At 48.8% G+C, this 22,458-nt stretch overlaps 2 protein-coding genes, 1 long non-coding RNA gene and 1 other non-coding gene across 32 annotated transcripts in view, besides 5 other annotated features; 3 read left to right on the plus strand and 1 right to left on the minus strand.

Moving 5' to 3' along the window:
- The window catches only part of PFKP (phosphofructokinase, platelet), a 69,258-nt gene extending 60,406 nt beyond the window's left edge, over nt 1-8,852 (plus strand). For 9 of the 15 annotated variants that reach the window (NM_001323071.2, NM_001410880.1, NM_002627.5 and 6 more), the window contains 6 exons: nt 1,866-2,030; nt 4,427-4,488; nt 5,250-5,361; nt 6,530-6,629; nt 7,783-7,885; nt 8,497-8,849. In NM_001323071.2, the coding sequence (NP_001310000.1) occupies nt 1,866-2,030; nt 4,427-4,488; nt 5,250-5,361; nt 6,530-6,629; nt 7,783-7,885; nt 8,497-8,626 (672 nt within the window). In that variant the 3' untranslated portion in view covers nt 8,627-8,849. Of the gene's footprint in view, nt 1-1,865; nt 2,031-4,426; nt 4,489-5,249; nt 5,362-6,529; nt 6,630-7,782; nt 7,886-8,496 lie in introns of all 15 variants that reach the window. The other 6 variants (XM_005252466.5, XM_047425350.1, XM_006717449.2 and 3 more) reach the window with 1 other exon arrangement.
- Nucleotides 1,262-1,775: an enhancer, noted in NCBI's record as "H3K27ac-H3K4me1 hESC enhancer chr10:3171407-3171920 (GRCh37/hg19 assembly coordinates)". NCBI's record gives its function as "activates a minimal SCP1, AML or CMV promoter by ChIP-STARR-seq in naive H9 embryonic stem cells {active_cell/tissue: H9 hESC(naive)}" and the evidence as "EXISTENCE:reporter gene assay evidence [ECO:0000049][PMID:30033119]".
- On the plus strand, nt 6,151-6,345 carry SNORD142 (small nucleolar RNA, C/D box 142). Its single transcript, NR_132758.2, has one exon. It is a non-coding gene; the product is annotated as a small nucleolar RNA, C/D box 142 (small nucleolar RNA).
- Nucleotides 8,030-8,531: an enhancer, noted in NCBI's record as "H3K4me1 hESC enhancer chr10:3178175-3178676 (GRCh37/hg19 assembly coordinates)". NCBI's record gives its function as "activates a minimal SCP1, AML or CMV promoter by ChIP-STARR-seq in primed H9 embryonic stem cells {active_cell/tissue: H9 hESC(primed)}" and the evidence as "EXISTENCE:reporter gene assay evidence [ECO:0000049][PMID:30033119]".
- Nucleotides 8,532-9,031: an enhancer, noted in NCBI's record as "H3K4me1 hESC enhancer chr10:3178677-3179176 (GRCh37/hg19 assembly coordinates)". NCBI's record gives its function as "activates a minimal SCP1, AML or CMV promoter by ChIP-STARR-seq in primed H9 embryonic stem cells {active_cell/tissue: H9 hESC(primed)}" and the evidence as "EXISTENCE:reporter gene assay evidence [ECO:0000049][PMID:30033119]".
- Nucleotides 9,774-22,458, minus strand: part of PITRM1 (pitrilysin metallopeptidase 1) — a 35,115-nt gene continuing 22,430 nt past the window's right edge. For 3 of the 15 annotated variants that reach the window (NM_001347727.2, NM_001347728.2, NM_014889.4), the window contains exons 16-27: nt 21,668-21,800; nt 20,218-20,338; nt 20,034-20,110; nt 19,619-19,784; nt 19,197-19,297; nt 17,643-17,763; nt 16,339-16,413; nt 15,436-15,548; nt 12,734-12,859; nt 10,951-11,096; nt 10,282-10,384; nt 9,775-10,171 (exon numbers count right to left, since the gene is read on the minus strand). In NM_001347727.2, the coding sequence (NP_001334656.1) occupies nt 10,078-10,171; nt 10,282-10,384; nt 10,951-11,096; nt 12,734-12,859; nt 15,436-15,548; nt 16,339-16,413; nt 17,643-17,763; nt 19,197-19,297; nt 19,619-19,784; nt 20,034-20,110; nt 20,218-20,338; nt 21,668-21,800 (1,376 nt within the window). In that variant the 3' untranslated portion in view covers nt 9,775-10,077. Of the gene's footprint in view, nt 10,172-10,281; nt 10,385-10,950; nt 11,097-12,733; nt 12,860-15,435; nt 15,823-16,338; nt 16,414-17,642; nt 17,764-19,196; nt 19,298-19,618; nt 19,785-20,033; nt 20,111-20,214; nt 20,339-21,667; nt 21,801-22,458 lie in introns of those variants that run through there. The other 12 variants (NM_001242309.1, NM_001347726.2, NM_001347725.2 and 9 more) reach the window with 10 other exon arrangements.
- Nucleotides 13,388-13,889: an enhancer, noted in NCBI's record as "H3K4me1 hESC enhancer chr10:3183533-3184034 (GRCh37/hg19 assembly coordinates)". NCBI's record gives its function as "activates a minimal SCP1, AML or CMV promoter by ChIP-STARR-seq in naive H9 embryonic stem cells {active_cell/tissue: H9 hESC(naive)}" and the evidence as "EXISTENCE:reporter gene assay evidence [ECO:0000049][PMID:30033119]".
- On the plus strand, nt 13,648-20,676 carry PITRM1-AS1 (PITRM1 antisense RNA 1). Its single transcript, NR_038284.1, has 4 exons — nt 13,648-13,816; nt 15,019-15,135; nt 15,903-16,033; nt 17,018-20,676. It is a non-coding gene; the product is annotated as a PITRM1 antisense RNA 1 (long non-coding RNA).
- Nucleotides 13,890-14,389: an enhancer, noted in NCBI's record as "H3K4me1 hESC enhancer chr10:3184035-3184534 (GRCh37/hg19 assembly coordinates)". NCBI's record gives its function as "activates a minimal SCP1, AML or CMV promoter by ChIP-STARR-seq in naive H9 embryonic stem cells {active_cell/tissue: H9 hESC(naive)}" and the evidence as "EXISTENCE:reporter gene assay evidence [ECO:0000049][PMID:30033119]".

Consider the following 22,458-nt stretch of genomic DNA (forward strand, 5'->3'; position numbering starts at 1 on the left):
ATTTCCCAATGGGTGTTAAACTTGGGTGCACAGACTCTCACGTGGCTCCTAGTCTCAAGTCCACACCCCCACTTCATGCTCTTACTCTTGGCTGAGTCCCATGGAGGCCCATTAGGGAATCCTGCAGGATCAGCCGTTGACCAGGACGGACGGACGGCTGGCTGGGGAATACCATGCTTATGTCATTCAGAGACAAGCATTTCTTGAGCGCCTGCTGTGGGGGCTCGGCCGGGTGCTGCTGATGGTGCACTGGTGTAAGCCCAGCCCACAGTTCCTGTCCTCATGGAATTTGCAGCCTAGTGAGGAAGATCCTCCCAAGTCAAATAACCACAAGGTAACTGCAGGGAGAGACACCGGGATAATTTCTGTGAAGAGAGGACATGGGGTGGCTCCGAGAGCCCCTGACAGAGGGAACTTTGTGGTCCTAGAAACCAGGTGGTGTTTTCCTGAGGAAATGACATTTTCCTCTGGATCAGAGCTGAGGAAGGTGCCTCTGTGTGTCCCGTGGCCGCTGTGACACTGACCACACACCTGGGGCTGGAAAATAATACTCTCTCCCACAGCTCTGGAGCGCAGGAGCCATGGGCTGAGGCCAGAATGTTTGCTCCAGGAGCGTCCCTCGTGGCCCGTTCAGGTGCCCAGAGTTGCGGGCCTTGCACGCCTTGTACGCCTTGTTCCCTGGCGCCTCCTCCTTCCATGTGGGTGTGCAGCATCCCGCTCCAGGGCCTTCAGCCTCTGCGCCCCTCATCTGCTGATGCAGGTGATGGCATTTAAGGCCCACCTGGGTACTCCTAGGATTCACCTTTATCACCGCATGAGGGAGCATTCCCAGGTTCCAGGGATTAGGGATAGGACTGGGATTCCTTTGGGGGCTGCTCTCCCGCCCACCACTGTGCCGGAATGTGATGCACACAGCGGCCAGCATATCCAAAGGCCCCAGGAGGACCTGGGGTGGCTGGAACAGGACCTGGTGCCGGGAGCAGGCGGGGCCGGGGATTCCCGACAAAGGCTTGATGTGTACTTGAAGTGAGCAAAGGGTTTTGAATAAACCAAGAACTGGATCAGATTTATGTTTTTTATAGATGGGGTCCTTTCTGTGTGAACGGATTGGAGGGTCCCGGGGTGGGAGCTGAGGCCCAGGAAGAGGGCGTTGCAGCCGGACTGATGTATGGGTGGGAAGGCGGCCGATGCATTTCTTTGCCATTTTTCTCCCCGCCGAGCTTGGGTCCTCATGGAGGGCGGATGGCAGACATTTCACTCTGGGATCCGATGCCTGTGCATCTGGAAGACTTCCCCAGGTGCCTGGGTCTAAGAACCACCATCTGCCTTTGAGTAGAGTTTCCATAAATGTAACATTCGCCAATGGATGGAAGATGGCCGCACCTCTAAAATCACAGGGAGCTTTTCAGAAGAAAATAGAATAGCACAGCGGTTCTCACGGACTAAGCTGGCAGGGGACAGTCCCCTAACATCTCAGCTAACACCTAACGGTGTCTGTGTCCGGTGAAAGCGGCTTCAGCAGGGACAGTCACAGAGCAGCGTGGAGTGAGCTGGCTTGTGGGGTCGTCTTTTCCGTCCCCTTCTATGGGGCCTGGGAGAAGGGAGCGGCAGATGGCCAGGCCCCCAAAACGGGACATCGAGGTCACCTCCAGGTGGCTGCCATGGTGGGGTTGCGGGGGACCACGTTCACACCCACTCCGAGGGCACATCCTGGCTGCTGCACACCCTTCACCTCTGCGGGATGCTGGGACCGCATGTTTGGGCGCGGTGGGGGGGCCTTGCTGCACTCACTCTTGGGGGAGCTCTGGGATGGTGGGCGCGCCCCGGGCCTGGGCTGGAGTGACTGATCGCTTCTCTGTGACCAGACCTGCGACCGCATCAAGCAGTCCGCCAGCGGAACCAAGCGGCGCGTGTTCATCATCGAGACCATGGGCGGCTACTGTGGCTACCTGGCCAACATGGGGGGGCTCGCGGCCGGAGCTGATGCCGCATACATTTTCGAAGAGCCCTTCGACATCAGGGATCTGCAGGTATGTGACGGGGCTGGCCTCAGGGCCCGTCCCCTTGGGATCCACTGGGTGCTGCGGAGTGAATCATCGTGTCTAGGGTGGTTTGCTTTCCAAGGGGCATGGAGATGGAGATGCTACAGAACATGCCACGCTTGATACACTTCGCATCGCCCAGGTGCCCCTACTGCGTGTCAGGTGACGGTGGGTGTGCCTGGTTGAGGACACCTTCTAGTCTCATGTGTGAAACACAAGCTTGTTTGTTTGACATAGTCTGTTGTGTAGTTAATGTTGTCTCACTTATGTCACCAATGATTTGAGAACCTCCGCTGACAGTCACCACCCACGTCTGCGACAGGCTCTGAAGGTTGCTGCAGCTTCTTTTAAATCCTGAGGCCCCTGATGCTGCGTCTGCCTCTAAACGGACACAGACATGACCGTGGTTTCTCGGCATCTGTGGCTCTTTTAGGGAAGGGTGTCGCTGACCCCGCGGTCTGCCCCTGCTTGGACGACACAGCAGAATCCAGGCCTGGACCCTGCAACATTCAAAGTTGCTAAACTTCATGCAAGATGACAGGCCTTGGCAGATAAAATGCAACTTGAACAATTGTCTTTATTTAGAGAGGGAGTCTTGCTGTCACCCAGGCTGGAGTGCAGTGGCGTGGTCTCGGCTTACTGCAACCTCCAACTCCCAGGTTCAAGCGATTCACCTGCCTTAGCCTCCCAAGTAGCTGGGATTACAGGCACGTGCCACCACGCCCAGCTAATTTTGTATTTTTAGTAGAGATGAGGTTTCACCATGTTGGTCAGGCTGGTCTCAAACTTCTGACCTCGTGATCTGCCCACCTCGGCCTCCCAAAGTGCTGGGATTACAGGCATGAGCCACCGCGCCCAGCACCATTGTCTTTTAAAAAGTTAGGATGTTACTTGTTTCTGAGCCAAATAGATCAAGTAAAAAGGGCCTTGGCACTAATTATGTGACATGTGAATCACGAATTTCTTTACCATGTCAAATATTTGTGGAGTCATTCACTGCATCATGATGTTTCTGTCAACAGTGGGTCCCATAAGATTATAATGGAGCTGCCCCAAACAGGTGCAGTTTTTTATCTTTTATAAAAACATATCTTTTTACATATATTTTTATAATATATATTTTATAAAAAGATGTTTTTTATCAAAAAATATGTATCTCTTACTGTGCTTTTCTACATCTAGACATGTTTAGATACACAATTGCCTGCAGTATTCAACAGTCCCAGACATTCAGGTTTGTAGCCAGGAACAACAGGTGTGCAGCAGGCTCTGCCTCCTGGGTTTGTGTGAGTTCACTGTAGGATGTTTGCGCAAGGCTTAAGTCACCTAGCAATGCATTTCTCAAGGAACATATCCCCCTGTTACATGACTCATGACCGTATTTCAGAAATCTATCCAAAGATCCTGCCTCACCAGCGCTCAGCATGGCAAGGGCTTAAGAGAAATTATGACAGATTTTTATTTTTTGCTTTAATTTTTGAGATGGAGTCTCGCTCTGTCACCCAGGCTGGAGTGTAGTGGCACAATCTCGGCTCACTGCAACTTCCGCCTCCTGGGTTTAAGCAATTCTCCTGCCTCAGCCTCCCAAGTAGGTGGGACTACAGGCACCTGCCACCACGCCTGGCTAATTTTTTGTATTTTTAGTAGAGACGGGGGTTTCACCATGTTGGCCAGGCTGCTCTCAAACTCCTGACCTCAGGCAATCTATCCGCCTTGGCCTCCCAAAGTGCTGGGACTACAGGCATGAGCCACCATGCCTGGCCTCCTACTTTGTGAAATTCTGCCATTGCGCCCAGTGACAGATTTGATTAGATGTAAAAACCTCCATTTTCTTAGGATGAATCATTAGAGAATTACCTCCCTCTTGTAATCCTCCTAACATGATCTGAAATGGGGATGTTCTTACTCTAAGACCATCTTTTCCTTAAGAAATCTGTGTATGAATGTGAGTCTACAAAATTCTTTGGTCAGACACTGCTCATCAGGCCGTCACATGAGATTCCATAGAAAGGCCACAGGTCACTCTTTCCTCTGAGAGCACCGAGAACATCGTCATGCAAATAAACAAGGAGCAATAGAGCCATGAATGATCACTAGGCAAAGCACGGAATTACCATTTTCAGAGGGACCCTGTTGACTCTGGAAGGTGTTGCTAGTGGCCGCCGTGAGGGCTGCTCACCGTGCCCTGTCCTCAGCGTTCATCGCTGCAGACGTGTCCTCCCTATCTGGGAGGAGGCTCCCCAAGACCCAAGCCGCGAGAGCTGCAGCCTCCTTGGCCACGCTCACTGCCACACTTGGTTGGCACTTCCCAGCCTGCAGTGCCTGGCACACAGTAGGTACTTAGTAGAAGTTTATTGTCTGATTAACAAAATACTCTCTTCCAGTCCAACGTGGAGCACCTGACGGAGAAAATGAAGACCACCATCCAGAGAGGCCTTGTGCTCAGGTGAGAGAGAGAGACCAGGGGCTGATCTTACCCTCACCGCCACACCCTGGTTCTTAGATTCTAGTCTGTGACTTGGGCTGGATGAGTGGTCATTTCTTTGCCGCTAGAGTGCACTACACACACTGAGCAGGTGCAGAAGACAGCTGTGGTGCATTGCTCTAAAGGCTTGCCTGCATTTAGACAACTAATATTTTTGCTTTATAGTCTCTTATTCTTTGATATCTTGCAATCATTTCCCTAATTAGCACCTGATGTTTATGAAGAAAGAAGGAAATACAGTCATCCCTCTTAGCCTCAGGGACTGTGTCCCAAGACTGCAGTGGGTGTCTGAACCTGGGGATAGTACCCGCCCCCTGTATACACGAGGTTGCTTCCATCTGATAACCAAGGTGGCTACTGAGTGACTCGGGCAGGAGGCACAGACAGCATGGAGATGCAGGGCACAGGGATGATTGACGTTCTGGGTGGGACAGCAAGAGAGCACGAGATTTCATCACGCTACTCAGAATGGTGTGCAATTTAAAACTTACATATTTATTTCTGGAATTTTCCATTTAATATTTGTGGGCCTCAGTTGACCACTGGACCATGGGTAACAAACTGCAGAAAGCAAAACCGTGAACTGGAGGGACTGGTGTTGATGTAGAATCACCATAGGGTTGGGGGATGCGGGAGTCCAGCCTCCCAGGGCCATCTCCCCAAGCAGGGAGCCACGTGCCCACTGCACGCTAAACAAAGTGACTCCTTCTCGCTCGTTTCAGAAATGAGAGCTGCAGTGAAAACTACACCACCGACTTCATTTACCAGCTGTATTCAGAAGAGGGCAAAGGCGTGTTTGACTGCAGGAAGAACGTGCTGGGTCACATGCAGCAGGTAGGCCCGAGACTGCATGAGGGGCCACAAAGCCCCTGTCATGTGACTTTTAAAAGATTAGTGTCTTATTTTAGCCATTGTGGGGAAAAATGTATAAGTAAATTCCAAGATGATAAAAAACATCTGAACTTTTTGAGACAGAGTCTTGCTCTGTTGCCCAGGCTGGAGTGCAGTGGTACAAGCTTGGCTCACTGCAACCTCCACCTTCCAGGTTCAAGTGATTCTCCTGCATCAGCCTCCCGAGGAGATGGCAGTATAGGCACCCACCACCACACCCAGCTAATTTTTGTATTTTTAGTAGAGATGGGGTTTCACCACGTTGGCCAGGCTGGTCTCAAACTCCTGACCTCAGATGATTCACCCACCTCAGCCTCCCAAAGTGGTGGGAATACAGGCCTGAGCCACTGTGCCCAGCCAAAACATCTGAACTTTTAAGTGATGCCAAACATCACCAGCTTTAGGATTCTTTTGTTGGTGAGGTTTGAGTAATGGGGATTTTAAGGGAACTGTCAGCTTTCATGAAAACAGTGATACCCCCATTACTTGGAAATGCTTATTCAAATTAAACACTTCATCAAGTTAAAAACTGGAGCTTCCCTAAGATTTAAAATGGATTATCAGACATGTAGTATACTTGACACCCCAAGTCAGAATGACCTGGAATGAGCTGCACACAGGCACACACGTGTTATGAGCTGAGCCTGGGACACAGGGTCCAGGCCTCCTAACTTGCACACACTCCTTCCTCACCACCTCCTATTCTTATACTTTTAAGCCAGAGCCCATGAATCCCCTGCAATGATGATGAAATAGTAGGCATATGTGTGATCTTCTTAAAGAATCCACAACGGTTATCAGATTAAAGCTGTGACCCATCCCCAGCTCAGATGAGTTCATGAAATCCTGATTTAAGATTTTAAAATAATGAAGATTGTTAGTTGACTTGTTCGGTTTATTAAAATCCTCATCTTACTGAGCGGGGGGAACACTTGATACTTTTTCTTAACAGGCCAAGTTCAGGCTACGGGAATCACAGGTTTTGTTCTGTTCCAACTATAAGGACCTAGAAATAAAAACATGAATTCTGCAAAATAGAAATTGTCATTTCTATTTAACAGCAAAGTGTTACTGTATAACTGGTATTTCATATAACTCTAACCACCAACAGGGTGGGGCACCCTCTCCATTTGATAGAAACTTTGGAACCAAAATCTCTGCCAGAGCTATGGAGTGGATCACTGCAAAACTCAAGGAGGCCCGGGGCAGAGGTAAGGGGTCTGGGGAGGGAGGCCACAGCCTCGTGATGCAGGCCGTCCTGCCTTGGTGAAAATGCTGTCCTATCGGGGAGAAGTAGGGTGCTGGTTCCTTCTTCAGTTCAGTACTGAGCTGCACGTGATGTTTTACTCCTGATCTCTGAGTGTTGCTATTTAACCAACCTTGGATTCCTGGGATAAGATCAGCTTGGGTATGACATGTTCTCTTTTATCACTGCTAGATGCAGTCTGCAGTTCTTTTGTGCAGGCTTTTTGCTCTAGAGATCCTGAACGTTGGCCAGCAATTTCCCCTCACAGTTTAAGTGGGGCCTTCTATTTTTTGAATGTTTGCTAGGACAACCTCCTTGTGACTATCCATCAAAACTTCCAGTTTTGAGGAAGATCTGACTGCTGAATGAATTGTTCATGTTTGTAGAACTGCATGTTCGTAGAACTGTGCATGTTCTTCCTTAAATCAGTTCTGTAAGTTACATATTCTAAGAAATCTTTAAACTGAAGTTTCAAGAAACATGACTTTTTTATAATACTCTTGTTAATGGCTCCAACATGGCTGTTCCCCACTCATTCCTGAGTGGCTCTTTGTGCCAGCATCTTTCTCACCCCCACCCCCCTCAGCTTTCTTAATCAGTCATAGCAGATGTGTGCTTTTATTCCGGCAAACCACTATCACTGCCAGTGTCCAACTTAGAAAAATGACAGTCTATAAAAACCAGTGATGTGAATAGTTTCAATGGGTTTGTCTTTTTGAAGAACTGACTTTGGCTTTGATTCTTTCTACAGCGATTTTCTTTTGCTAATTTAGCTATGGATGCTTTTTGCCTCTCAGTGTGTGTATGTGTGAGCATAAATTAGTGTCCTGTAATTTAAGCTAATTTCCCTATTCCACTATTTAGTGAAAAATTCTCTCCACTGGGAGGAAAAAACAAAAGCTGCTTTCCAGGAAGCCCTCGGGGCAGTCCCACAGGAGCAGAGCTGCACGAGGCCAGGTGCTGGCCCCACTGCGCGGCTGTTCTCAGTCTCACTGGGCTTCCAGGCCGGGTTCAGCATGGTTCTGAGGAATCTCAGTTCTCATCTCGCCCCGTGATTCTGCTCCCCCACCTGCCCATGTTGACAGGGTGTTATTAATCTTTTTTAAAATCTTTTATAGGAAAAAAATTTACCACCGATGATTCCATTTGTGTGCTGGGAATAAGCAAAAGAAACGTTATTTTTCAACCTGTGGCAGAGCTGAAGAAGCAAACGGATTTTGAGTAAGTTGGCTGGGTTCCCTGAGGCAATAAGACCCCAATGTGAGTACGGGACAGGGGAATGGCCATTGCTGTTGCTGTCGGCAACTCATTCAGGGGTTTGAGGAACTGGCTTTTCTGAAGCTCAGTTAAAAAAATACTAGGTCTTGGCTGGGCGCGGTGGCTCATGCCTATAATCCCAGCACTGTGGGAGGCCGAGACAGGTGGATCACAAGGTCAAGAGATCGAGACCAACCTGGCTCATATGGTGAAACCCCATCTCTACTAAAAATACAAAAATGAGCCAGGCATGGTGATGCACACCTGTAGTCCCAGCTACTCAGGAGGCTGAGGCAGGAGAAATCGCTTGAACCCGGGAGGCAGAGGTTGCAGTGAGCTGAGATTGCACCACTGTACTCAAGCCTGGCGACAGAGCGAGACTCCACCACTGGGTCTTCGGGAATAATTTTAAACAATGGTTTCATTTGATCCTGAAATTGGCTTTATCATCTAGTTGATTCAGCCGACCCTACAAACCCTGTGTTTCTGGCAAGACCGCTCGCTGTGCTGGCCAGGCGGAGGCATCTCCCGCCAGTGACTGCAGGCCTCACTGCTGTCTCCTCTTACCTCCACAGGCACAGGATTCCCAAAGAACAGTGGTGGCTCAAGCTACGGCCCCTCATGAAAATCCTGGCCAAGTACAAGGCCAGCTATGACGTGTCGGACTCAGGCCAGCTGGAACATGTGCAGCCCTGGAGTGTCTGACCCAGTCCCGCCTGCATGTGCCTGCAGCCACCGTGGACTGTCTGTTTTTGTAACACTTAAGTTATTTTATCAGCACTTTATGCACGTATTATTGACATTAATACCTAATCGGCGAGTGCCCATCTGCCCCACCTGCTCCAGTGCGTGCTGTCTGTGGAGTGTGTCTCATGCTTTCAGATGTGCATATGAGCAGAATTAATTAAACATTTGCCTATGACTCCAACAGTCCTCTGTTTTAGTTTTTTAAGTAGGAGATTAGTACCTCAATCTATGGGTGGCTACTAAAGGTTTTCTCAGTTTTGTGGGCAAAGATTAGCAAAATATTTTTATAGGGATCACTGAACTATGCACACGTCATACAAGGAGAACAAAGCCAGGAGTTCACACAGGCCAAGGGGAAGGCCACGTTTACTCACCATTCCATATCTGCCATGTGTCAGTTTCCATCCACAGCAGCAGGCCGGGACCCTGGGCCTCGACCCCAGGCTCCTGCTCTCCTTTGAAAGTAAAACATGAATCTTAGTTACTTGTCCTCTTGATTGCAATCCTAGCTGCATGTTAAAACCACCAAGGGGTGGGTGGGGCGGAGGTGGGTTCAAAAATCTGATAGCCAGCTTCTCCTCCAGGCCAAGCCACAGTCCTCGCTGGGACCTAGGTTGGAACTCTCCGGAAGACTCCTGCCAGAGTAGACACGGCTGCTGGGATGACAGCCCTGCTGCCCTGGTGGGCCCCCCTCCTGTAGGGACAGCGTTTCTGCCTCTTAGCTCTAGTCTGCAAGAGAGAACAGCTGCGCCTCAGAAATGGGGGCAGAGAGCTGGGTGGAGGGAGAGGAGAGGCCAAAAACAAACTCTGTTTGGGAAATCAGAGTCCGACAGCCAAGAAAGAGCTAGCGCGGAGGCTTTCCTTTCTGGCTCTGTAACGATGAAGCAAGCGCTTACTCACCCCAACCCACTTGCTTCTCAGGACGGTTTCCATGCAGCCGCCGCGGTGAACTCCCGTCTGGTGGACACTCCCCCAGGGCCTCGGTGTGATGGAGTTTCCTGAATCAGCGCAGGCAGACGTGGGACACCCTTGTGCACCTTTTCATTTTACTTCTGTTTTTAAATAAAGGCCCTAAATGCTGCTTAAAATAATGACTCAAGCAGAGGTTAAGTCAGAGTTGCCCTTTATTTTTAGATTCTTAAATATTCTAGAATGAGGTAAAACGAGCCTGCCAGTACAAAGTGAAAATTCTACATGGTGCATCTTTGGCGCTTCATGCATGATTATTTCAATGAACCTCTTCCTGGTCACTCTTAAGATAGATCTGAGTTTTTGACTCGCCAGTCAAGGGCTTTGGCGACACTCAATGACATAATATTCTTGGAAAAAGCAGTAGCATTTCTGACTTTTCATATTCAGCTCGGAGGTGTATTGTCTCGGGCTCCTGTGCAGTCGAGCGCCACGGCTGCTCATTGGATGATCCAGGATGGGTCCTTGGCAATTTTCGGGTTCTCGGGTCCGAGGATGGCCAGGCCGTGTGTGCTCTTCCCAGTGCCGAGGTATCTGAGAGGAAGGCAGGCGTGGTCAGCAAGGACTGGCTTCTGCGTGAGCGCTGTTAGAGTCAGCACGAGGGCTTCCAGTCCCAGACGCTGTCTCCCCCGCTCCCCACTCACCTATCGCTCACGGCCAGGAGCTTGTCGTGGCTGACAGCAAAGAGCTGCTCTCTGTGGGCCTGCTTCATCTCATCCGAGAGGCCGTACAAGAAGTGGTCCATTCCTAGAAGACAATCCACAGGCACGATGGAGCCGCTGCCCGGGAGCTCGCGTTGTGGGCTGTGCACTCATGTCCCGGAGGGGACACAGGCATCTCACTGTCATTTCACGTGCATGTTTCAACCACAGGGATGTGTCTAACAACCCAGAGATCACACCCCGACCTCCAGCTCCCACGTGCCACGCTGACCCCTACCCACGCCTGCTTCTGCAGCAGGGATGCAGTCAGCGCCGCGTGAGGCTGATGATGCTGTGAGCAAAAGCGGCTCCAGAGAGTAACGTGGCCATGCCCGGGCCGTGCCCACGTCCTCCTTCCACCCTAAAGAGCCCGGACACTGCCATGGGTTGGCCCCACTGGGTCTCAGGTCAGTAAAACAAATGACAGGATGCACTCTTCTCGCCCGGATGTCAGGAAGCGTGTTTAGGGTGTCAGACGTGGAAATCGTATCACAAGCAAGGATGGAGGCACCAGAAGCTAGTGCTCCTGCCCATGCATGCCGGGAACTTGGAAAACAGCAACGTCATCTGTGAGGCTGTGGGTTGAGATTCTCACTGTTATACTCAAAATACCTTTGTCTGAAGGAGCGACAGGAGCATCTACGGTTGAGAAGACAGAAAGTTTGGCTTCGTCGATGTCTTGCTGTGTGAATTTTCCAGACTTAGCCCAGTCGACAGCCTTCCCAAAAGACTGGAGCGTCTCTATTGTATTTGGGTCCCTAGGAAACCCAGAGAAATAAACGGGCAAGCATTTTACCAGTGGACAAGTTTATGACAAACCTCTGTCGACTTAACAGTTCAACATCTTCTATGGGTTAACAGCTCTATTTTATATCTGATTTAGTCCAAACAGCCCACTGACAAATCGCTCAATTACTCTCAATGGAAATTTAAATCTGATCACATAAGCCTTTCAACATGTTCTCCCTCTTAGACAAGGTCTGTCTGCACAAAGTCCTCCCTAGATTATTTAAATACACTTCTCTGTGACCTCATCAGGAGAGGAAAGTCAGTGGAGGGTAGGGGCAGGTCAGGATTACAGGGAAATTACAAAGACTTACATGGAAAAATTAAGCAAACAAAGGTTTTCCTTTCATCTCCCTGAAGACACACCCAGGGTAGTACAGGAATCAGCCTGAGGGGGCCAATCCAGACTTCCCTTCGTGTAAATGCAAAGAGCCCAGCCCTCCCTTCACCCTGAGCTGCAGAGGGGCGGCTGTGAGCTGCTTCCCCATCCTTGTCTAGAAGCATGGCTTCCAGCACAGCAAGGGGGAGAACTCATCAGAGTGGCAATGGCTACCTACGTATCTACCTACATGCCTGCCTACCTACCTAATCTAGCTATGCATCCACGGGACAGGGTCTCACTGTCGCCCAGGCTGGTGTGCAGTGGCGCAATCTGCTCACTGCAGTTTCAACCTCCCCAGGCTCAAGGGATCCTCCCGCCTTAGCCTCCTGTAGCTAGGACCACAGGCACTTGCCACTGCGGCCGGCTGGCTCCTTCTTAAAAACTGTTGGAATACATGTTCTCTTAGGCAGCAAAGCCATAGAAAATCAAGAATATTGCTTTACAGTAACGGTGTTATGTTTATGAAAGCTAACAGAACTGCATCCACATCAGGCACCTCCAACTGAAATGAGCTAAGAACGCTCTCAGGCTGTATCAGCCCCCTCACCTGGGGCCTGTGTTTCAGGACCCCCACGGCAGGGCTGCAACCTCAGACAGCCACTATGGATACTATGTTTTTTTCCTATACCTATGATAAAGTTTATAGATTAGGTGCAGCAAGATATTAACAAAATACAACAATTATACTGTAATAAAAGTTACGCTGATGGGCTACTATTAAGTAAAACAAGGGTTCTGTGAACAGAAGCTCTTGGATACCCACAGCGTATCTGATACCTAGACGGCTACTGGGTGACCAACAGGCAGGTACCGTAGACAGCGTCAGCTTTCATCCCACTGCTTAGAAGAATGGTGTACAATTTAAAACTTAGGAAGTGTTTATGTCTGGAATTTTCCATTTAATATTTTCAGACCGAGGGGGACTGTGGGTAATAAACCATGGAAGGCAAACCCACGGATGGAGGCACTACCGTGTTCTGCCAAAATATGCTGGCTGAAGCCAGGGTTTACTGAAGGCAGAATGCTTCCTGTTTCGGCTGCTGGCCCTAATCCTCGCGCCAGAAAGGACATTGCTGGGTGTGGCTAAGTGCCCAAGGAGTGAAAAGAAGCACACAGAACAACTTTTGTCTAAAATTCACTGCAGTAGAAGAAAATGACACTGATAATCATGAGTAGAAGACTAAAACGACGTGTGCATCCCAATGTGTGAACTAGAGCAAAACTCACCTGTAAGAGTAAAGGGTGAAAATCCCATTGTGGCTGAGTTTTGCGCCTCCACCATAAGCACCGCCTTTTTCTCGAATTTCTGTATGCAAGAATTTGGCAGTCATCAAACGTGCAAGGATTTTAAGACTGAAATGATTAAAAAATGCAAGTTAATACCGTGGCTGATAAAAAAGCATAGACAATGAAGTAATTGTTGGATTAAGTGAAAATGAAAATCGAGTTGTAAAATAATGCTGCATAAATTATGGTCCCATATTTTGGTCTTGTTTTTTAAGAGATGGGGTCTCGCTCTGTCGCCAGGCTGGAGTGCATTAGTGCAATCACAGCTCACTGCAGCTTTGAACTCCTGGGCTCAAGGGATCCTCCCACAACAGCCTCCTGAGTAGCTGGGCCTACAGGTGTGTGCCACCACGCCTGACTATTTTTACAGTTTTTGTAGAGGCAGGGTCTAGCTTTGTTGCCCAGGCTGGTCTCAAACACCTGGCTTCAAGTGATCCTCCTGCCTTCAAAGTGCTGAGCTTACAGGCATGAGATTTTCTTTTCAATTAACCAAAACTAAAAAGCACAAGGAAGCACAATTTTCAAACAGTTGGCTTAGATTACAGGGTTGAAGGGAGAGGTGGTGGGGAGGGAATCTTAACACTTCCAGCACCACACTGCTTAACTTGTTCCAATGCACATGTGGCATTTTTAAAATCTCGTGAAGTAGAAAGAGGTTATTTCTATTATAAAGGCAAATGAGCAAATGAACATTTATTTAAATGTCTCACATCAGAATATGGAAAGAAAGGAAACTGAAGTGAGTTTTATAAGAATCCCTTAAGAAAACACACACTCTCTGATAAAGCACATTTCTAGGAACAGGGCCAATTTCCTCTGCCTTCCACTGTGAACGGTAACATCACATTCAAGCTGATTCTAGAACACATCCACCTCCGACAGAAGGCGGGGCAGACAATGATGGGAGGGTCTGCAGCACAGACACAGGCTCCTTGAAGACGCCCGTGGTGAGATCAGCCCCAGGTCGCCGCTTCCACAGACAGGCCTTTTCCTAAAGTGGATGAAGGGAGTCAAATAGGCCAGGTGGGAAATCAAGGAAGGAGTGGGCGTGTTCCCAGGGGCTGTGGTGGGAGAAGTCACGACCATCTCGTGTGGGTCCTCCAGGAGAAACCCAGCGCCACTCGGGTGGCTGGGGCGCCGTCAGCCGGGACTAGCGAGGCTGGAGTCAGACCCTGGGGGACGGAGTCTCCACCAGCACCGGCAGGGATGGCGTTCCATCCGTCCACACATTATCCTTCCTGAGAAATTTCTATTACTTGTATATTAAAAACATGCTCACTTTTGAAAGATTATAAAATACAAAACACAAGGAAAAAAAGATCTGGAATCCCACTGCCCAGGGGGAACCTCCACATTTTTAGTGTTTTCTGTCTACATTTTCCTGTTGGATAGTGGAAACAGACACCACTCTTCTGCCGGCATAGCAGACAGATCTGTTCATCTTCTACAAATATGGAAATAAATGAACAAAACAGCTGACCACATACTTCTACAGCCAGCTCTTTCTGGGCCCCCACTGCAGCCCCACGTTTCTTCCCGCCTGCCTCCTACACACCTCCCCATCTGTGACCCTCTGTGACACACGTGCACCTCGGAGGCCCGGCTCCTTCTCCAATCAGGACAGGCTGCCCAGGCCTAAGCCTGCCTTCCCCCTCTCTACCAGGCTCACTCCTTGGTTTAGTCCCTCATGGGGGTAGCTGCCTGGGACAAGGACACAGGAAGTGAATTTCCGGGATATAACATGTTTGCACATATCTGTGTCATACACACCCAACTGACGGGTCCCCAAAGGTGCACGTCTGTGAGTCTGTCCTGGTCTGGCCAGTTTCCCCAGATGGGATGAACACAGCCAAGGGGCAGCCAGAGTTCGGAAGAAGGGGCTGGAGGGCCAGTCTGTAGGCTGCAAACTCCCTCGCCCCACGCCACTTTGGGAACAGGCCTGACCCTGACTCTTGGCTGTGGCTTCGGCTGCTCAACCCAGGGCCTCCTTCCCTGAGCTTCTGACTTGGTGGGGAGACAGGGGAGACAAACTCCTTAGAGGGACTGTGAGGCGGCCTCCAGCCCTGCCATCTGCAGGGCTCTGCAGGACCACCTGGTTTCTCCCCACTGCCCTGTCCCTCTGTGGCCCCAGGTCAGGCACCCCCCACCCACCCAGAGTCTGGCTCACGAGGTTCTCCTGCAGCCCCCATGGCTCTCCGGGTCACCTCCCACTCTTTCCCTTGTAGCTTCGTGTCTTGATCTGCCTTTGCTGTCATTCACGCATCTGTCCTCATGAAGGCTTAACCTACCATGTTTATCAGAAATCTCAGCCTAAATTCATTCGATTTTTACCTAGAGATGAGGTGAGTACATGGGGCATGTTGAAAGCAGTCTGTGTTTAAGGTCATAGGTATCTGTATTGTTCATAGGACTCCTCAATAATAGAAATTGTTTACAAAAATGACTGGCTCTAAAACTGGGTCTCTGTTCACAAAGACTGCTGGTTAAAGAGGAGCACTCGTAGACTCACACAGCCCCAGGTCCAACACTCAGAGTCAGCACAGACTTTTCCTGTGCTAAAACACGCCCTGTGAACTCGAACAGCCTTGACAAGCTCTTCCGTAAGGCTCAGGCCTGAGAGGTCCCGACCTACACCCTCCTACCTGGCATGATCTGGGTCCGTGTAGGGGACAGTTCGGATGCATTCACCCACGTAATTCACCGGGAAGGGCATCAGGAAGTGAGTCTTCATCTGCCAGGGCTTGAAGGTGGGTTCCTGAGGGACACGGTATGGTCAGAGGCGGCTGTGCTGCCATGCACCGCCCACGGCACTGGGACTGGACCCACTCAGGGGTCAGAGGCGGCTGTGCTCCCACGCACTGCCCACGGCACTGGGACTGGAGCCATCTCAGGGGTCCCATCTCCGTGACACTCTGCAGCCAGGTGCTGGGGCGCGAGAGCAAGGCACTGCAGTTCCGTCACTCCACACAATTTCTCACTGTAAAACTGACATGAAGTCCTCCAATCTTGACGTGATGCCTTAACGTATACTGTTCAATTAAAAACATTTCATTCTACGCCGTTTATATCACAGTTACATATTTATATTTCATATCATATTATATCATAGGAATGTGTTAAATCACTCTACTCCACAAGGAACCAAACCAAACAGCATCAGCACCAGGCTGAGTCGCGGAAAGGATCTGTCAGACCGCTCCACTGGCATCGACTCAGCTCGGGAGCTACGTTCAAAGAAGGGTGAGTTGCCCGGGAGGAGACCACCCAGAGCAGTAGCCCTCTTCCTGGGCACAGGGAAGACGCACCCCATACCAGGGCCCTCCTCGGCACAGGAGGACACACCCCCACCAGGGCCTTCACTCAGTACTGTCTGAGAGAGAAAAGGCTCAGGGTGGCAGTGACAAAGGATGCACTGAACTCGCAACTCTAGGGACACGCCAGCCCCACAGACAGGCGGACGGAGGAACATTCGAACATCAGTGGCAGACACAGCCATGCAGGGAAGCACCCACCCGCTGGCAACCCGGATGGGCTGTGGTTCTTACCATGACCAGCTTCCTAATGACCTGGGAGCCATGGGGAACGTGGGCATCTCCACCAGAGCTGCTGGGCACAGGTTTCTGAAAATCAAGTTTCCAAGAGAAAAGAGAAAAATCCAGAACTCACTTGAAATATATAAGAAGTAACAGAGTTTATAAAATTCACACAGCTAATAACAAGTGTTAGGGCAGGTGTAAGTGTTTTAAATAATAAACGCTTAAAAAAAATAAAAATAGGCTGGGCAGAGTGGCTCATGCCTATAATGCCAGCACTTTGGAGGCTGAGGTGGGAGGATTGCTTGGGTCCAGGAGTCTGAGACCAGCCTGGGCAATGTAGTGAGCTCCCATCTCAACAAAAAATTTTTAAAAATTAGCTGGGCATGGTGGTGCACACCTGTAGCCCCAGCTACTTGGGAGGCTGAGATTGGAGGATCACTTGAGCCCAGGAGGTCACGGCTACAGCTAGTTGTAATGGCACCACTGCACTCCAGCCCGAGTGCCAGAGACAGACCCTGTCTCAAAATAACAAAAACTAAAAAAAGAAATAAAGTGAGTAAAAGAAATTAAGAAAATATTAAAATAAATTTTCAGACAGTCAAGGAAAAGGTAGCCTTGTTATATGGTACAAAGAAAATATTTTAACCTTTCTTTCTGCACTTTCTTGTCATTAATCTGTCAAATCAAGAGGACATTTAAGGTGAAAGGGTTGCAGGCAGAGGGGCCTGGAGCAGCAGGAGGCCACCTCCCAAAGGCTCCACTCCCAGGGGCCAACAGAGAGACCACATCCAGAATTGAACCAGGGATACGCAGACACCAACGGAGAAGACATGAGCGTCAACCTCCTCCACGGAGCAGCACGGCTTCTCTACTGACATCCATGAACTAGACTACAACTCTCTAAGTTAATCAAATTTACTAAGTTAGTTATCACCGACATCACTGTTCCATGTCAAATCCATGGATTCATGAGTCAAAGAAACAGCAGTGAACAGCCTTCAGGCTACGGTTTGGGCCATTCCTCTGCCAGCGTATTCCAGCCAAAGTCTGTTTTCCTATCAGACTACTCACTGCAAGGCACAGAAGTGAGCGCGGGATCTAAGGCCACACCGCAGGGTCTGAACTCACTTAACTGGCCCAACACTGCACAAGATACTTAATCCTCCTGAACCTCAGTTTCTTCATCTGCGTACGGGGGATATGAACCCCCACATGCTGGACTGCTCTGAGAATTGAGTTAATGCGTGTAAAACATGAGAGCTGCTCTGGCACCCACCAGGCGCTCACCGGGCGCCAGCACCACCAGTGCATACCTCGACCGTGTGTGGGCGCACAGGCCTCCGTTCCTTTTTACTCCGACCGATGCTTCTAAGGAAGTCTTCGACCGCTTTTTCTGTCTGAGGCATCTGCTGAGGAGTCGCATTCACTGAACACCTGTTTGAAAAATTATGTATACATAAAACCACTGTTAGAAAAAACAGTTTTAGTAATTCATCACATTTTGTATAACTCAATAATGTTGTTTTTATAGAAAATACTGTTCAGAGTGTTAAACAGCAGCCAAATGTGGAAATGCCACGGCCGCCTCCCTGCTCTTCAGTGCTTCAGGTTATCAAGAGATTTCCGCACAGTTCAATGTGGCAGCTAATGAAGCCGTCCATACGCGGAGCCTGTGACTCTAAACTCTAGTTCTTCTGAAGAGCAAAGAAAATACAGAGACTATTAAGATCTGCTAACCGTGCCTTCGGAATTACACTATCAAAACACTGACAACTTTTAAAATTACTGTCCAGAAGTCATCAATTTGAAAATGTGAACTGGTTGTTAAAGCAGAACATTATAAACTGCAAAAAAATACCATGCTCTCAAAGTTACATGAAAATAGAACTCTTCCAAATTCCACAGAATTGCAAATACTACTATCATATAAAAGCTACTTGAACTCTACAGTATATTGACAGAGTGTATATTTTTTCCTTTCAGCTGTAAATCCTGAACTTATTCTAGTTAAAGTAACAGCAGGTACCATTATATTAATACTAACTATATCCCAGGCATGTATGCTGCCTTGCAGATATTCTTTCTTTTATTCCTTACGATAAACCTGCAAAGGAAGGTTTTATGGAGGAGGAAGCAGAAGACGCAAGTGGGTCAGCTGCCCAGGACCGCCTGGGAGCGAGTGTGAGTGCTGACCCGGCGGCACCAGAAGCCAGGCCTGCCTGAGCCCAATGCCAAGAGACCCTGATCGCCAGGCTTCACCTCTGGCCACCCACAGACCGCCCTGTAGAATCTGCCAGGGATTCTCAGGACATGACTGGGGAAAGGCATCAGGACTCTGTGTGAAGAAGGACAAGTGACTTCAGCAAACATTTTCTTGTTAAGTACTGATGAATACATCAATGTCACTGACAATAAGATGCTGAAAATAAACAATCATTTTTAAACTTTATTCATGCTCACACATCTGAGGGCATAAGGCCAACTGAAGGTATAGGACTGAGCTGCCAGATGTTTCCTCAAAGCATCACATAATTTTATAAGAAACTGCACTTTTACTCTGGTCTTCAGCAAGCTCACCTTTACAGATACCTCAGTTACGGACCATGTGCTTTTGGAAGCAATATAACTACTTGCCCTCAATCTATTTGCACTTCTAGCACAAAATTAGCCTGCTTTCTTCCCCATCTCCTACAACTTTTAATAGGCTTAAAATATTTTCTTAGTTTGTTAGAACACTTGACATTTACAATAAATTCTATAACCTTTACCAAGCACTCTATCTTGAAGTTTCTACAAGTAAGAAATACCTAAAAACTATACTTAATAGAATGAATCATAAAATATTTAGAAACAAATCACACATGCACCTCATATTATCACCATTTAACAAGTGTTTCTTGATACGCGGGAGCTTCCTCAGGATGGGTTTGATATCTGTCATTTCTGCAATCCTCTTCATCAGCCGCACCTAAGCCAGAGGAAACTCGCTCAGAGAGAGGCAGAGGCTACAACAGACCCGCTGAGTCTGAACCAAGCACCTGTGACATCAGAACCCTGCTTGGGCAGGGGTTATGTGTGCGAGTGCACGGCTTGGGCAGGGCTGGAACTGGGATGCAGGGTGGTACAAAGAGGAAGATGAGTCAAAACCAACCAACCAATTCTTCCCCATATTTAGTCAGTTAGAAAGTTAGCATTTCTGGGACATAAATTAATGTATTCCCAAAGAAATTAGTAACTCTGGAATATGTGGCTAAACCGGAGTAATAGAGGTTCCTTCCAAGCTTCCCACCTGATCCATCCCGCTGAAGGTCTCCTGCAGGTCCCCTGCGGGCGTGAGGGTCCGGCCTGCCCTGATGGATGCGTACAGGTGCCCAGAGTCAGGAATTCCATTGGCGAGCTCCTGGGCGGTCATCTTCACCAGCACCTTGAAGTGCTCCTCTTCTTCAAAGCACGGGCTATGGAAAAAGGAGAAGAAAAAATTCCTGGAGACCCATTCCTCACGTCCCTTCAGTATCATGGAAAGTTGATTAAGTTTTCAGAGTACTTTAACAACCAAAGAAATTTTATAAGTCCATATGAACTACAAGTAAAAGTCAGACTTGGAAAACAACAACACACACGAGTAAAACTGTCTCCTTTAAAGTACTTCAAACAAAGATCTCTAGTACACCCCAAGAATGGACAACTCTTGCAAATAAAGTTACTTGTTAAATATTTCACTCCATAGCTGCATCATGTCTGGCAGGTTTCGATCCAGGCAGAGAGAGGAGAAAAGCACACCCTGAACCAAAGAAAACACAGAAGAAAGGAATTAGGGCCGAATCGAACAGTGACAGACACTGGAGAAAAGCTTCCCACCGCAGCAGTCGTCTGACGGTACCAGGCTACCTGCTCGTAGGTGTCCATGTGTGAGTCGTCGGGGAGCACGTGGGGAGAAGCACTCATCCCTCCGGTCTTCAATTCTATCTGCTGAGCCTGCTCCCGGTAGTCAAGAAGGCCGCAGCCCAGCCTGACACAGCAGAGAAGCATCGCCCCGATTACAAGTCAGTCTTTACTGAATCATTTTTAAAATCGTGCATCTTGAGTTACAAGTTGCTTCCATTAATTCAATAACTGCGGCTTTGCCAACCTCTCTACACTTCGAAGGTCATAAGCAGGTGCACTCTGGCCTTCGCCCTCGAGAGTTCATGTGCCCCCTTCCCCAGGGAGACCCCAGTTTCTCCCGCCTAGGAAGTTAGCGTCCAGAGGCACAAGACACTTGGGCAGCCAGTGTCTGCACTTAAAACACCATTCTAAAATAGGCATTTCCAGTTGTAAGCTCTTCAATAAATGTTTTATGACTACTCCCTACTCTCTTCACCCAGATCACCGTGATACATACTTCCTTTGTTTTGCTCGAATGTCTGGTAGCCTGGGCGGGGGAGTCCGAAGACTAAAGGTTTTTTAAGTTTTTAAGAAAAGCAGTTTCCTCTCAGCACTCATGCTTTTGAAAGAAACATTCACAGTGACACTGCTAATGCCAGCAATAATTGAGTCAAGGGAATGACCATGAGGTGTTTTCTAAACCGCTACAAAAGGATGAACAGTGGCAGCTATATTTAAAAAGAAAGGCAGGGAACCTTCAAAACCCTGAAGACATTTTTCCATCTGAGCGGACCCTCAGCCAGGGTGCAGAAGGTGTCACAGCCACATAGCTTTCTGCAGCATGCAGACAACTTCATCTCCACAAAGGGAAGACCCCAGCTGCATGTCAGGTTGGGCAGTGGTCCCTGAAGCTGGCTGCAGGGTTCCCTGTCGCCCTATTATTCTGGATGGGAACAGGAGCCCACAGCCCTGTCTACTGCTTGTCCTGCAACCTCGGCCACGGCAGAGCTGGGCAAAAAGTCAAGTGTTGATGTGTGCACTCGTGTGTGTGTTTCCAGATCTGTGCACACCCCACCTAGGGAGGACGACAGCAACTGCAGGGTCGGCTTGGAGGAGGAGCCACGCACGCAGCAGGCACACCTGTTCCTAAGGCAGCCCCAGGCCACACTGCACATCCAATTACTTACATTTTCGGATTAAACCATCAATCCTTTCCAAAGCTTCATAGGCTGAGATGGAGATCTATAAGTATCTCCTTATATTATACCGTAGATTCATAACTATTTCAATGTAATATAGTAAGAAAATGTTACTTTCATAAAAAATTCTAAACCAATATATTGTACACCATACTTACACACTAACATTGTAAGTTGTGATTCACTGAAGGTAATTCCTACTGATGCATTAGAATACAGATATGCACACAAAGCAGACATTAATAAGACACACAAGGGTATGTTGCGACTCGTACTTGGTGAGGACGCTGCAGAAGAGGGGCACATAGGGCCTCAGCTCCTCGGGGAGTGTGTTCAGGCTGGAGAAGGCCCGGAAATACACCATGCCATTGGTGGGCTGGGCGCAGTACTGAACAGGGATATCTCCAGCTAGAAAAACAAAAGGGATTTAATTTTTATTGCTGCCAGTAAAATTCTAACCACTTGTAATATTTAAAAACAATGCTATTTATTGTTTTTTCAAGAATGGAGGTTTAAGACTTATACTAGAGTTTATATAAATTTCCCAATCATATTTTCATGACTAAAAACTGGAACTGTCTTCAATAGTAAAGCAACCCGTGCTCTCCAAGGAATGGGAACGGAAGGATGGAACCACGAACTTCTGGTCTCATAACTGCGAGTTCCAGTTACCCAACCTCTCCCCGTCAACCAGAGGGAACTCTGACCAGGTGCCCCCGAGACCCCTGGGCCCACATCGCACCCGTCCTCAGCGCTGCTCATCTTCCCCAACAGGCCCTGCCACCCTCTGGCCCCACAACAGAAGGCTGCCCCAGGGCCCCAAACAAGGCTCCTGGTGTCCCCCACCCACCCATCCTGACCTCAAGGGGAGGGCTGGACATTCAGCTTCATATGTCCCTACCTAGCAGAGCACCCTAGACCAGCGGAGGGACCAAGGTGCGGAAGGATGACTGATTTATTCTCACTCTTAGCAAACACTTAATGAGATTCACGGACAAAAACTGCCAGGGTTAACAGATCAGAGAGATGTCAGCCTCGAGTTCCACTCACATGCGCCCACACACAC

This window comes from Homo sapiens, chromosome 10 (assembly GCF_000001405.40).
Source record: "Homo sapiens chromosome 10, GRCh38.p14 Primary Assembly".
Taxonomy (NCBI): domain Eukaryota; kingdom Metazoa; phylum Chordata; class Mammalia; order Primates; family Hominidae; genus Homo; species Homo sapiens.